Genomic DNA, 14,785 nt, shown 5'->3' on the forward strand with positions numbered 1-14,785 from the left:
TTCAGGGGCATGAGGAGCCTGAGGGGCTGAGGGGTGCCCAGGGCTGGGGACCCACAGCGATCTGGGAAGGTGTCTTCCTCTCTGGGGTTTGGTTAACTGTTCAACTCTGACTTTCAGCCACTGCTCAAATTAGCCATTGCCAGTAACAAGGGGAATATTTTGGGCTCCATCTGCTTTTGTTTTATTTCTCTCTCTGTTCAATACTCAAGCAAGGAAAAGGGATGCTGTTCATTGTGGGACTCTTAGAGGTGCTAAACACTTGCAGCTTAAATTGCTGGAGAGGAACTATCTAAAGAGACACCAAAGGCAGGTAAAGTCAGATCTTCAGCATGAGACGTGGACTTGGGCTCTCATCTGTATTTGTGACTAGGCCTCACCTGCTTTTTTTCTTTTTTTTTTTTAATAAACTTTAATTTATTATTTTTGTGTGTGCGTAGGCATGGGGTCTCATCATGTCGCCCGGAGTGATCTTGAACTCCTGGCCTCAACCAATCCTCTCTCTTCAGCCTGGCTCTGGCCTGGGCGCTGGCTCTCTGTGAGGCTGTGGCTGGACCAGGTGCACTGCAAGCAGCTTCCAAGGCTGCCACTGGGAAATGCAGTGGTGCTGGAAGCTTGGAGACTCCAGGAACCACAGGGCCCCAAAGAGGGAGTTACAGCCCTGGCTCAGGGAGCTTCGAGGACTGGGCTCCCTGAAGGGCCACAGCTCTTTTCTCCTTCTCTTCACCTGCAACATGGAGAGCAAGGGGTGTGTTTCAGCCCTGTTTGTGTTACTACTCTTTCAGCTCTGCCATTCAGCAGGTCTTGAGTTCTTGTCCTGTGTCCAGGAAGAATGAGGTATGTGAACAAATGGAGGGTGAGCAAGGTGAAGAGGAGCTTCATTTAGTGACAGAATAGCTCACAGGAGGCCCTGGAGTGAGTAGCTCCTCTCTGTAACTGCTCATCCCAACGTCTGCTCAGCTCTGGCTAAGCCCAGGCTTTTATGGGCCTCAGAGGGGAGGAAGTGCGTACCAATTGGTCCATGGGCGGCCATGGGCAGGCCTGGAAAAGGCACCACAAGTCCCCTCTCTGGTCTGCAGGATTGGCAGCCCTGCCCCTAGCCTTCAGGCCCTCCCTGGCCTAAAGGTGGGCTCTCACCAGGGACCCACCCCCTTCCATCCGGGAGCCTGTCTGCCTCCTGCTGCTGTTCATAGTGTCCAGGCTGTAGGTGCCAAGGGCTGCCTGCAGGCCAGCACAGACCTGCCCTCAGACCCCATCGGCTTCCCTCCCAAGCTCGTCAATGCCCAAAGTCTGGAGGGGGCCAGGCAGCAGGGGGTTGGCATGTCAGCAGTGCTCCACGTGCATGCACACCCAACCGGGCTGTGACAGCACCCGGGCTTGGCCCCAATTTTGCTCTGAGATTGGAGTGAACACTGAAAGCAGGGAGAAGCCAGGCAGTGGGAGCAGGCACTTCTGAGCCTGTGAGGGCAGGGGGATGCCTTCCTGGGCCCCCAAGAGTGCAGGGATGCCTGGGTCCACAGCCACAGTTTGGGCGGCTGCAACTGCGCCTGGAGGGTGGGGGCCGCAGGGCTCCTGCCTTCTCCATGGAGTAGGAGGCCCAGGTCTACAACTGTGACTTGGGTGGCTGCAGCTGAGCCTGGGAGGGCGGGGCTCCTGCCTGCTCCAGTCCCCCTAAGAACACAGGGAGGCCCAGGTCTGCAGCCATGACTTGGGCAGCTGCAGCTGTGCCTGATGGGGGTGGGCAGGGCTCTTGTCTGCTCCTTGTAGTGGCAGGCTCCGGTCTGCAGCCACAACTTGGCTGGCTGTGGCTGCACCTACAGAGCTCCTGCTCAGAAGGGGCAGGGATCAACTCAGAAGGGGCAGGGATCCCACTTGTCCCTGGCTCCCGCCGGCTCTGTGGAGTGTGCAGCCCATATGCAGCCCCAGCCACACCTCCCCACTGTACCCAGCATGATGGCAGCCACCGCTCCAGATGGGCCGCCTCTGCCATCATCGCTATCATCCAGAGTCCACGTTAGGGTCCACTCTTGGTGTTGGACATTCTATGGGTTTCGACGGATGTGTAATGACATGTATCCCCCACGACAGTAACACGCAGAGCACTTTCACTGCCCCAAGTCCTCTATCCTCTGCCTGTTCCTCCCTCCCTCCCTCCCCTGTCCCCTGGCAACCACTCATCTTTTTACTGTCTCCATAGTTTTGCCTCTTCTGGAATGTCAAAGAGTTGGGATCATACAGTGTGTAGCCTTTTAGATTGACTTCTTTCACAGAGTAATGTACATTTAAGGGTCCTTCATGTCTTTTCCTGGCTTGATAGCTCATTTCTTTCTAACCCTGAACCACACTTGATGGGATGAATCACAACTGATGGTTCCACTCACCTGCTGAAGGACATCCCAGCAGCTTCCAAGTTTTGGTGAGTATGAACAAAGTTGCTGTAAACATCCACGCGCAGGTTTTGTGTGGACACGTTTCCAGTTCCTCTGGGTAAAAACCCAGGAGCTCAACCTCCACCTGTGTCTCTTAGGCAGCCCTCTTCTGCCGAGCTCTTCTCTTAGGCAGCCCTCTTCTGCCGAGCTCTTCCTGCTCTTCTCGTCTCCAAGCCTGGCCCCAGTGCCCTGGCTCTTCTCTCTGCCTCCTGAGTCCTCCCAAGCCTGGCCCAGACCTCGGGCTCACACTCTCCTCCAGATGCTGCAGCGGTCATTGCCTAGAGACTCACTGAGCACCTGCTCCCTTGTTACCACTGATCTGCCGGGTGTGCGCGTTCTCTAAGGGACTCGTGTCTTCACAGGACAGACTTCATCGTGCTCCCCTGAGGCTTCTCTCAGGGCTCAGCAGCTTTGGGGGCCAACTTGATGGGTAGTTTAGTTGATGGTTGCTGTGAGATCTCAGTTCTTGTCTTCTTAGTTTAAGGGAGTTTAAGCAAGAGACACACAGCAAAGGAGGCGGCATGTATAGTGATTTAGTGCAAAAGAAAAATAATATGAGAAAAGTTTGGTGCAGAATGGGCAGTACACTCTGAAAGAGAGGATTCGGGGTCGGCTGCTCATGAGGATGAGACGGCAAAGACTGGAAGGAGGGAGATTCCCTCTATGGGAGTCTTCCATGATTACGCATGAGGAGGTGCGAGAGGCGTTGCTGGGAAGCTTGTTCCGGGTGCTCCTCCAGGTGCGCACGCGCAGTACCCGTCCACGCTTGTTCATACGTCGCCTGTCTCACTAGCGTCTTCAACGCCAGGGTCGGTGTGAGGACAGGTAAGCTCACAGTGCGCGTGCTCTCCAGAGGGGAAGGTCCCTACTGAAGATAGCTGTGCTCAAATGAGCTCCATTACACTGCCAATGCTGAGGCTTGCTGTGTCGACCGTACGGTCACCATGGTCGCCATGCCCCGAGGACCTGGTCACTTCCTTGACTACCTGTCCTGCCTCGGGTTTGATGCCCACATTTACAGGGCACTTTGAGATGCTGCTGCTGCCAGAAATGAACATGTCATTAAGGTGTCACACTTGGCCCTCCTCAATCTATCCCATTGGGCCTCCTCTCTCTGATGGATGCCATGGCAGTGCTGTGGGCACAGGCTGCACGGCTGCTGTGTGGTGTGGGTCCAGGTGCGGGAGAGGCAGGCATTGCAGAGAGACGCCCAGGTGCACAGGGGCGGCTGCAGGAGAGCTTGAGGCTCGGGGCCTGGGAGGGCTGGGAGGAGAGATGTCTCCACACAGCACGTGTGAGCCTAGCACGTGCTCATCACCGGGGAGAGGGTGGGGTGGGTGGAAGAGGTGTTGGTGGAGGGGGATCCAGAACAAAGGGCAGTGTGTCTGGCACTATGACAGTGAGTGCCGGGCGCTGGCCTTGGTGGGAACAGGCTGGCCAACCCACGTGGCACTCCTTGCCTGCTCCCCGTCCCCTGTGGGTCCCTTTGGTCGCTCAGGACCCCACACCTGCCCTCTCCAACCCACACTCATCAGGCGCTCAGACCTGCAGCTTCCTAACCTGCTGCATGTGGCCTGGTCAGCGAGTTCAAATGACCAATTCCCAGGTCCCAGCCCAGACCTCAGGATTACTGGGGAGGGGGCCGGACTCTGCATTTTAAACAAGGTTTCGATGACTCTGGAAGCCGCACTGTGAACCAAGTCACTCCACTCTTGCTGGAACCAGTCTGTCGGCATCTGATGCCCTCCTGCCCACCACTCTGCTTTCCATTTTAGCGTCGAAAGTGGCTTCCAGCAGAGGACACTTGGGAGGGACACAGCCACACCCAGGACCCAAGGCCCGGGTGAGATCCGGAGGCTGTAGGAACGCTAAGGGGCGGTGCTGGTGGTCCAAGGACGTCCCCCGCAGAGTGGACCAGGAAGAACGTGTCAGAGGATCTCTGCGCCGCAGCATCTGGGTTGCATCCTGTGAGAGACGCCGCGGGAGCCCAGCAGCACGGCGTTTTCTGAGTGTGGCCCCATGGGCAGCAGCAGTGAGGCCTGCAGGGCGTGAGGGCCTCCCCTGCTGCTCCCCTGCCCTGTCACTCACCACATCCCGCATGTGGGGCCTCCCTGCTGGTGATGAAACCTACCACACTTGGGCCACTGGTCATGATTCCTGCAATAACCAGCTCCCTGATAATTAAGATCTGTTGGCCAGGCGCGGTGACTTACACCTGTGATCCCAGCACTTTGGGAGGCCGAGGTGGGTGGGTCACGAGGTCAGGAGTTCAAGACTAGCCTGGCCAACATGGTGAAACCCTGTCTCTACTAAAAATACAAAAAATTAGCTGGGCATGGTGGCAGGGACCTGTAATCCCAGCTACTCGGGAGGCTGAGGCAGGAGAATCCCTTGAACCCGGGAGGCGGACGTTGCAGTGAGCCAAGATCAAGCCACTGCACTCCAGCCTGGGCAACAGTTCGAGATTCCACCTCAAAAAAATGAACTGTCTGCCAGTCATGGTGGTGCATACCTGTGATCCCAGCACTTTGGGAGGCCGTGGCTGGAGGACCGGAGCTTAGGGGTTCAAGACCAGCCTGGGCAACATATGGAGACCCTGTCTCTAAAAAGAAATTGTCGTATCGAACAAAGTTCCTTAATATCTGGAATATGCTGACGCCTTTCTTCCTGGATCTATTCCTGAGAAGGTGGTCACTGAGCTTCCTCTTCCGAGACAGCCTGGCGCTCTGGACGCTTGGCTTCCGCTCGCTGGCTCGCCGACGCCCTCTGCTGTCCACGGTTGGGAGACCTGAAAGTCGCAAGAGCGTGCCCGTGACAGGAGGCTGTGCGCAAGAAGACGTTTACAGCCGTTTTATTTGTAATAGCCCCAAACTGGAAAGCAGACGGGTGTCCTTCAACAGGAGAATAGATACATACACCGTGGCAAATTTGTACAAGAGAACAATCTCCAGCAATAAATAAGAGCACGCCACTGATGCGCGTGGCAATTTGGAAACCTTCCACAGAACAGCACACGGATTGCATGGATGCGAAGCTCCCCTCAACTAATCTATGGGGAAAATCATCAGAAAAAATGGGTGCCTCTGGGAGAGTAAGGGCAGGGACTAGCCAGAAGGGGCAGCAGGGCCAGGTGGAGACTCACTCGCCTCTGTGGATACTCTGGTCATGCGGCTTGGGGAGTGCGTGTCCCTTGAAGAGCCTGATCCAGAAACAGTGCCGTGTTTTCTGAAACTGAATGCAACGAAGTGCGGCTTCATCCACTGAGTCACTGCCCATCCCCTCAAGGATCCCCAAGGAGGCGACGCTGAGTCCGGAACGCAGGAGGGAGACCGTTCTTCTTCCCGTGAGGAACATGCTCCAGGGTCCGGAGTCTACGGAAAAATAGGAGGGTTTGAGAAAGTGAAACCCGTTCATTTTCTGTGGAGCAGAATCAGCAAATGCTGTCTCGGGGGGCCCTGTGGGCCTTGGGAAGCATTTTGGACTAAACCAGAGGATAATGAGACACCACTGGAGGTTTACCAGCAGAGGCGGTGCCATGGGGTTTGCGTCTCTAGAAGATTCTATGGGGGATCACCAGCACGCCCAGCTAATTTTTGTATTTTTAGTACGTTGGCCAGGCTGGTCTTGAACTCCTGACCTTCTGATCCACCCGCCTCGGCCTCCCAAAGTGCTGGGATTACAGGCGTGAGCCACCATGCCTGGTCCAAGTTTTGTATTTTTAGTAGAGACAGGGTTTCACCATGTTGGCCAGGCTGGTCTCGAACTCCTGATCTCATGATCCGCACACCTCAGCCTCCCAAGTGCTGGGATTACAGGCATGAGCCACCGCACCCAGCCCATTTCTTTTACCAGTACATCAAAGACTCAACTGTTACCTCTTCAGATATTGCTTCTGGCTATTTCCTGTCTGATCTCTTCTGGAACACTAATTGAACATATATTAAACTTTTTTTTTTTTTTACTCTGTTCTCCATCTCTCTTAACCTCTCTTTCTGATTTTTAATTTTTTGTATCTCTGGGTTGCTTCTGGGTTCTTCTACCTGTTTTATGGTTCACTAATTCTTTCTTTGGCTGTGGCTAATTTGTTGTTAAACCTGGTTTTTAATTTTGATTATTATATTTTTTCATTTCCAGAAATTCTATTGAGTTGCTTTTCAAATATGCTAGTCTATTTTATACAGTTCCTGTCTTTCCCCAGAAAATTTCGTCTTGCTTTTCATGTCTCTAATCATAGTGTGCATAGTTTTAATATCTTTGTCTGGTAGTTTGAATATCTGAAGTCTTTCTAGGTCTGTCTGTCTTTTCCTTCCCACCCACCCCCTCCTATTTCTTCTCCTGTTTTTCTTCTTATCTGATTCACTCCCATAATACCTTATTTTCTGTGTCATGATTGTTTTCAGCTGTCCTTGAAAAATTGCTTGTAGGTGTCCTGTGAGCCCTGCACGAAGCTGTCCCTCTAAAGAGGCTGGCATTTGCTTCTTCCAGGCGCCCAGGGGCCGTGGTAATCTGGGACCACTTTACATTAATTACATTAAATTACAGGCTTAAAGAGTTCTCGGTCATGGGTGTGATCCAGGTCACCCGTGTGATGCAGCTTTGGACGTGGCTGGCTCATGCCTCTGTCTTCTCTGAAAAGGGTTTTCTCCTGCCCCTGCCCCGCTTGTCTTGCCATCCCTTGATGATGTGGGGTTGGGGGGTGTTACCTCTGATTCACCCTTACCCTCGGGGTGTAGCCTTTGGGGTTCTCAGTTTTATGGAGAGAGGGCTTCCTCCGACACTCCCCACTGGCTTGGCGTTTTACTCTTGTGCCTCTTGCCCTGAAAGACCATTAAGAACTATGCTTAAGTACACTGGGGCAGGTGAATGCCCCCGTAGTAAAAAGAGCTGCCGTCTTCAGCCCACCCATCTTGTTCCTGCTTCGATTTAGATTTTTGGCCTAGTAAGTCCTTGCCGTCTCATCACTTCTCTGATGAGTTTAAGGAGATTTAAAAAATCTTAACAGCATTTTCTTTTGTTCTTTTTTTTTTTTTTTTGAGACAATGTCTCACTCTGTTGTTGCCCAGGCTGGAGTGCAATGGCGCGATCTTGGTTCACTGCAACCTCTGTCTCCCGGGTTCAAGCGATTCTCCTGCCTCAGCCTCCCGAGTAGCTGGGATTACAGGCACCCGCCACCACGCCCAGCTAATATTTGTATTTTTAATAGAGTCAGGGTTTTGCTGTGTTGGCCAGGCTGGTCCTGAACTCCCGACCTCAGGTGATCTGCCCGCCTCGGCCTCCCAAAGTGCTGGGATTACAGGCATGAGCCACCACGCCCAGCCCTTAGCATCATTTTCATCGTTCTATGAAAGGGTTCGTTCAAATAATCTAATAAAAATATAAGACAAATGTTTATTTTTATAACGATCCCAGCGGATATTCACATCATGACCGTGGGTCTTTGCTGAGGTCTAGGCATCTTCGGTTACCAAGCAAACCTCCCCTCCCAACCTAACGTGAACACCTGGGGTGTGTGGACCACATTTCACAAAACACTCCTCTATATAACCCAGAATATTTGGAGTTTTAGAGGGTGGTCTTAGAGAGAGGTGAGAAGGAAGTGAGGTGGGAGGGAGCAGGAAGGGGGATGCATGCACAGTGGGGTAGAGGCCAACGGCCTTTCCAGGAGCAAAGATGCCTAAGATTGCCTGTGCGGTTATTATTGTCGGATCCTTAGCAAATCTCTCCTTCCCATGAAAATTTTGTATTTGGGTTGGAAACGATAGAGGAATGAGGTTATCAAAAAAGGATTGTGATATGGAACCAACAACACGACCACACCCTCAGTCACAAGCCCCGTGGTAGAGTGATCATTAGACACACGAGTCTCAGAAACCAAAAAGGCTGAAGCATGCTTTGTGCTTCCACGAGGCATGAATTCAAGGCACCTTTTCCAACATCTTCAGGGGACAGGAAGGCTCCAGGATAGATTTGGATGGCATGACTATTTCCTGCACAGTTTTCCACAGCTCAAGCGCTTTCTCATCTATTACTGTTTTTGTTTTTGTTTTTGTTTTTGTTTTTTTTTTTGATATGGAGTCTCGCTCTGTCACCCAGGCTGGAGTGCAGTGGCACGATCTCGGCTCATTGCAAGCTCCGCCTCCCGGGTTCACGCCATTCTCCTGCCTCAGCCTCCCGAGTAGCTGGGACTACAGGTGCCCACCACTACGCCCGGCTAATTTTTTGTATTTTTTAGTAGAGACGGGGTTTCACTGTGTTAGCCAGGCTGGTCTCGAACTCCTGACCTCATGATCCACCCACCTTGGCCTCCCAAAGTGCTGGGATTACAGGCATGCGCCATCGTGCCTTTTGAGACAGTCTCACTCACTCTTCGCCCAGGCTGGAGTGCAGTGGTGTGATCTCGGCTCACTGCAACTTCCGCCTCCTGGGTTCAAGCGATTCTCCTGCCTCAGCCTCCCCAGTAGCTGGGACTACAGATGCCTGGCTAATTTTTGTATTTTTAGTAGAGATGGGGTTTTGCCATGTTGCCCAGGCTGGTCTCGAACTCCTGACCTCAGGTGATCTGCCCACTTCGGCCTCCCAAAGTGCTGGGGTTACAGAAGTGAGCCACCATGCCTGACCTTTCTTATCTACTACAAATCCTTGTCCCTACAACCACCTCTGGAGGTAGGAAGTGACAGGAATCATTATCCACATTTTACACATGCCGATCATGCTGTAAAAGAGACAGATGGACAGAGACTTTGGGGAGAGCCCCACCGATGACTGCTCTTGTAAATGCTGCACATTTGCACACTACCTGGGAGAATCAGAGGCAAAGACAAAGATGTGAGACAAAGGGGTTGAGGCTGAAGGAAGCCCTCTGTCAGCACCGGCACTGCCCGTCACGTGGCAGCACTGATGCCCTGGCACCTCAGAATTATAAAAAAAGGGTGAAGCACCAATACTAGTGGCAAACATTTCACACAAAGGAAAATAATGCCACAATCACCACCCAAACACAGTAATTTCCAATTATGGACGTCTATTTCCATTTAGCACATGCAGGCAAATATGATGAGAGGGATTTAATGACCACTCTCTTGTCTCTGCTTTTTAAACTCAGTATCTGTTGTGGTCACATGATTGACCCCCAACATTCATTCCACATGGATGAGTCAGCTGAGCTGACCAGGGTTATACTGCCTCTCTCATGAATGATGGCTTAGAAGGGTTTAGATGGTTTAGAAGGAAAGCCTGCTCCAGGGATTCGGAGAAAAGAGGCTGTTCATCCCTTCTTTTGGTCCCTGTCATTACTGAGTGTGATGTGTGGAGCCGCTGCAGCCACCTTGGCACCATGTGGCTAATCAGCCTTAGGCTGAGGATGGGGTAAGAGGGAAAGGAGCCTGTGTCTTTGGTGATGATGATATGGAGATGTTTAATCAGCCAGTCTTGGTGTCTGCCCTATCTCTGGATTTCTCACTATGTGAGGTGATAGATTTGCTTATTCTTTAAGTGTGTTGGAGGGTTTTTTCTTTTCTTCCTTTTTGGTTACTTGCTGCTAAGACATTGAACTGATATAATTTTATGTCACAAGACCTTTTTTCTTTTTCTTTTCTTTCTTTCTTTTTTTCTTTTTGTTTTTTGAGACAGAGTCTCGCTCTGTCACCCAGACTGGAGTGCAGTGGCATGATCTCAGCTCACTGCAACCTCTGCCAGCCAGGGTCAAGTGATTCTCCTGCCTCAGCCCTCCGAGTACCTGGGACTACAGGTGCACGCCACCACGCCTGGCTAATGTTTGTATTTTTAGGAGAGACGGGGTTTCACCATCTTGGCCAGGCTGGTCTTAAACTCCTGACCTCATGATCCACCCGCCTCAGCCTCCCAAAGTGCTGGGATTACAGGTGTGAGCCACCGCGCCCGGCCAAAATCTTGTTTCTGTATAGTCCTCATATCCGTAATTTTACATGCATGGCTTTGAAACAGTTTCACATTTATGGAAGAGCGGCAGCAACAGTGACTGTACCCATGCTGCCCCTCAACCAGCTTCACCCTCTTCCTTCTCTTCTTGCAAAAACACTGCTCTTCCATTGGAGCTTAATTCAAGTCTTTCTGAGCAGACACTCCTAGTCAGATAAGCGGTTTTCTCCTCGGCATTCTTGCAGGATTTCCTGACACTTCTCTTAGGACCTGGTTTTTTTCTACCCGTGGGTTCAGTATAGCAGATCACCCCACTCATTGTCTATTTTGACTTCCTTCTGGCACCTTCCTGGATGTAGAGATTGAAGAGTTAAACGCCAGTGCCTCTGGCAGCTCTAGGCTTCCAGGTGCGATTCAGTTTCCACTAATCAAATGAAACTGAACAAGATCTGGGGTCAGGATTTGGTTAAGTGGGAAGTGAGGTTCTGCTGTGAGAGTCGTCATTTTACTGCTGTGGAGCTAATGGGTGTGGCATATTTCTGGGACCGAAAGTTGTGGTGCCTTCCTGTCCCCCGGAGGGAGTATAGCAGGTGTTGCCTGATCACAGAGCCAGTGGTGGGGTCGGTGGGTTTCTGAACACAGTCTTTTTTTTTTTTTAATTTAAAAGTAAACTTTAATGTCAAAAATGCAAACTTGGGGAGGACAGAAAGATCACACATAAGGCTGCCACTTCACACTTGGAGGGTTGCACAGCAGCCGGGCAGAGAGGCTCCTCATGTCCCAGATGGCAGGGGGGCAGCAGCCAGGCAGAGGCGATCCTCACTTCCCAGACGGGAACACGGTCTTTTTTGAACTGTGTTTTTTCGAACTCAGTTCTTGTTTTTGTCACAGTAGGTGTTCCCTTGCTGGGCTGTCTCTGTGGGGTTATTCTGGGAGTGACATCCTGAGACCCGGCCTGGAGCCCATTCTTCCAGTCTCTTGATGATTTTATAAGCAGTCAATTTCTTGTTTGAAAATTATTTCTGCTAAAAATTGTGTTGTTTCTTCATATGCATTTGACCTATGACAGTATTATTTCCTCAAGTGGTTGTAAGCAATACATCCTCAGGGATGGGAGCCTGAGACGTATCTGCCTGGCTGAGTTTGAAGACAGGAGATTATCATTGTCTCGTTATGGCCAGCGTTGGGTCACCGTAGTGTATGGTCAGCATCGGTTACCATAGCGTGTGGTTAGCGTTTGGGCATCTGCATCCCCTGGGCATGGTGGCCTGGAAAGACACGTTGGCTGAAGGCCTGGCTTTGGCTGGCCAGGTGGCCCCTGTGAAGCACAGGATAATACAGAGCTAAATGCAAAGAGTGTGAGGGTCTTGGGCTGGAATGGTGGCCCTTGCCGGGGTCTGGGTAATTGTGAACACCCCGAGGAGACTGGTCCTGCTTTGCTTGAAGACTCACGGCAACCTCACCTGTGGTCGTCACAGGCCAGGAGGCTGCAGTTCCCTCTCCTACCTTCTCTGTGGTTCTGGGCCAGAAGGGTGGTTAGAGACTAGCCTGCTGCAGGGACCAATGACAAAGTCAAACCTGGGCAGAGAAGCTCACACATCAGAGGGGCTGCAGGAGCTGATCATGTATTTTGGCAAAATTGTGGGGAACCTATGAGGAAATGGATTCTGAGGGTGCCAGACCACGGACGGGGATGAGAACTTGAAAAAAAATGTAATCTGACGTGATCCAGACTTCCAGAGGATTGCAAGAATAGGGCAAAGAATTATTACATAGACTTCACTTAGATTCCTCAAATATTTTACCACATCTACTTCATAACGATGTATTTATGCATGTGTACACATGTGTGTTTATACCATTTTATGTACATATACTTTTTTCAGAACCATTTGAAAGTAAATTATAAACATGAGGCCCTCTTTCCCCAAATAATTTATTGTGTATTTCCTAAAAACAAGATGTTCTTATGTAACCACATAAAAACTGTTAAAATCAGGAAATTAATATTGGTATAATATTTGCTAATCAAATTTTCCCACATCCTCTAGGCTGGGTGCAGTGGCTCACACCTGTAATCCCAGCACTTTGGGAGGCCAAGGCGGGAGGATCACTGGAGCCCAGGAGTTCAAGACCAACCTGGGCAACACAGGGAGACCTGTCTCTACAGAAAATTTAAAAATTAGCTGGACATGGTGTGGTGGTGCACACCTGTAGTCCCAGCTACTCGGGAGGCTGAGGTGGGGGGATCACTTGCTCTCAGGAGGATGAGGCTGCAGTGAGCTGTGATTGCGCTACTGCACTTCAGCCTGGGGAACAGAGCAAGACGCTGTCTCAAAAAAAAAAAAAAAAAACCAAACAGATTGTTCCACATTCTACTAATGTTTTTATAGGAAAACAAACTCCTGGATGGCGAGTTGGCCTTTTGTGGCGTCTCTTTGCTTTCCTTGAATTCAGAGCAGCCCCTCAGCCTGCTTTTCAGCATCTTGATATTTTTCTGAGCGCTGGGCTACAGTTATTTTGCAGCAATGTCCCTCAACTTCAGATGTTTGCTCATGGTATGAATTTGGGCAGAAATACCTCAGAAATGAAATTGTGTCTCAGTTATCTTTTGAGGCTCATAGTTATTTGCCCTCTTACAGATGTTGTTAATGTTAATTTCTCGGTTAAACGGGTGCCTGCCAGGTTTCCCCTCTGTGAATATACCATATCCCCATTTGCTGTCAATAAGCACCTTGGGAAGAGGTGCTTTGAGGCCACTTACGTATCCTACTTCTCCTGTTTCTCAGCTGACTCTCACTCAGTGCCGTTTCCTCTTTCTTGTGCTGCTATTGGGCGCACATTTTTCTCGACGCGGGTTTGCTCACTTGTGAGTAAGCAGAGATTCTGCGCTCAACGTACAAACTCCAACAATGGGAGCAGTTCCAAATGGGCATTTGTTTCAGTGAGATCTGAGCTCAGTGGTAACTTAAGTGGAAAGCATTTGAGAGGCAAGCAATTCCTTTATGTACACGAAAGCCTCTGAATGCTCAGGGACACAGGTGCATTGAAGTGGATTTTTTTTTTTTTTTTTGAGATGGAGTTTCGCTCTGCCACCCAGGCTGGAATGAAGTGGTACGATCTCGGCTCACTGCAACCTCTGCCTCCTGGGTTCAAGCAATTCCCCTGCTGCACCCTCCCTAGTAGCTGGGATTACAGGCGCCCACCACCATGCCCAGCTGCTTTTTGTATTTTTAGTAGAGAAAAGGTTTTGCCATGTTGGCCAGGCTGGTCTTGAACTCCTGACCTCAGGTGATCCGCCTGCCTCAGCCTCCCAAAGTGCTGGGATTACAGGCGTGAGCCACCGTGCCTGGCCGAATTTTTCTTCTTTTTTTAATAGTGATGGGGATTTGCTCTGACACCCAGGCTGGAGTGCAGTGGAATGATCATAGCTCACTGTAGCCTTGACCTCCTGGGCTCAAGCAGTCCTCCTGCCTCAGCCTCCCAAAGTGTTGGGATTATGGGTGTGTACCACTACTGTGCCTGGCTGAGGGGGTGGATTCATTTCTTGCCACCCCCATTTCCCCCTGGAGGGCACAGAGGCACTCCCCTCCCCAGGACAATAAGACACCCATCAGTGAGGCAGGTGCCTGAATCCCTGGATGGCACCTCAGTGGCTGTCTCTGGAGGCCAAGGTAGAGGGATTGCTGCAAATGGGCTTCCTGATTTCAGTGGAGAGTTGGACCCTGTGGAGGTAGAGGTCGGGTAACAGCTCTTAACTGCCAAAGCAACACAGGTGAAGTTACCTTAATTGTCAGAAGAATTGGGTGGTGATCAGAACGGCTTGAGCCACAGGAGTGTTTTGTGGTAGTAAATTGCCACGCAGTTGCCAAGAGTGAAATAGATGGGAAGCCCACTAAGGGTCTATTTACCACTTTTTTTTTGTTTGTTTGTTTTGAGATGGAGTCTCGCTCCCATCACACAGGCTGGAGGGCAATGGCACGATCTCCACTCACTGCAACCTCCTCCTCCCGGGTTCAAGTGATTCTCCTTCCTCAGCCTCCCAAGCAGCTGGGATTACAGGCATGTGCCACCATGCCCTGCTAATTTTTGTATTTTTAGTAGAGATAGGGTTTCACCGTGTTGGCCAGGCTGGTCTCGAACTCCTGACCTCAGGTGATCCACCCGCCTCAGCCTCCCAAAGTGCTGGGATTACAGGCGTGAGCCACCGTGCCTGGCCTATTTGACACATTTGATTGAAATAACAAACTCTAAGTTAAGCAAACAGAGCCAGAGCCTTCAGTCACTGTGTAGAAGTTCCAGTTCCTCAGTCCACGCCAGGACCTGAATCCGTTCACAGACCCACAGTCCCTTCAGTAAGGGAAACGTTTGATGTCCCTGGGGAAGGATCCTATGCTAGCACCAGAAACATGTTTTTAGAAAGTTCCTCCAGCTTTTCCTAAAGAAACTGCAGCCAGGTTCCC

At 50.9% G+C, this 14,785-nt stretch overlaps 2 annotated features.

The window, feature by feature from the left end:
* Nucleotides 1,403-2,074: an enhancer, noted in NCBI's record as "H3K4me1 hESC enhancer chr10:133832958-133833629 (GRCh37/hg19 assembly coordinates)". NCBI's record gives its function as "activates a minimal SCP1, AML or CMV promoter by ChIP-STARR-seq in naive H9 embryonic stem cells {active_cell/tissue: H9 hESC(naive)}" and the evidence as "EXISTENCE:reporter gene assay evidence [ECO:0000049][PMID:30033119]".
* Nucleotides 11,137-11,637: an enhancer, noted in NCBI's record as "H3K4me1 hESC enhancer chr10:133842692-133843192 (GRCh37/hg19 assembly coordinates)". NCBI's record gives its function as "activates a minimal SCP1, AML or CMV promoter by ChIP-STARR-seq in primed H9 embryonic stem cells {active_cell/tissue: H9 hESC(primed)}" and the evidence as "EXISTENCE:reporter gene assay evidence [ECO:0000049][PMID:30033119]".

The sequence above is a fragment of the Homo sapiens genome, chromosome 10 (assembly GCF_000001405.40).
Source record: "Homo sapiens chromosome 10, GRCh38.p14 Primary Assembly".
NCBI classification, from domain to species: domain Eukaryota; kingdom Metazoa; phylum Chordata; class Mammalia; order Primates; family Hominidae; genus Homo; species Homo sapiens.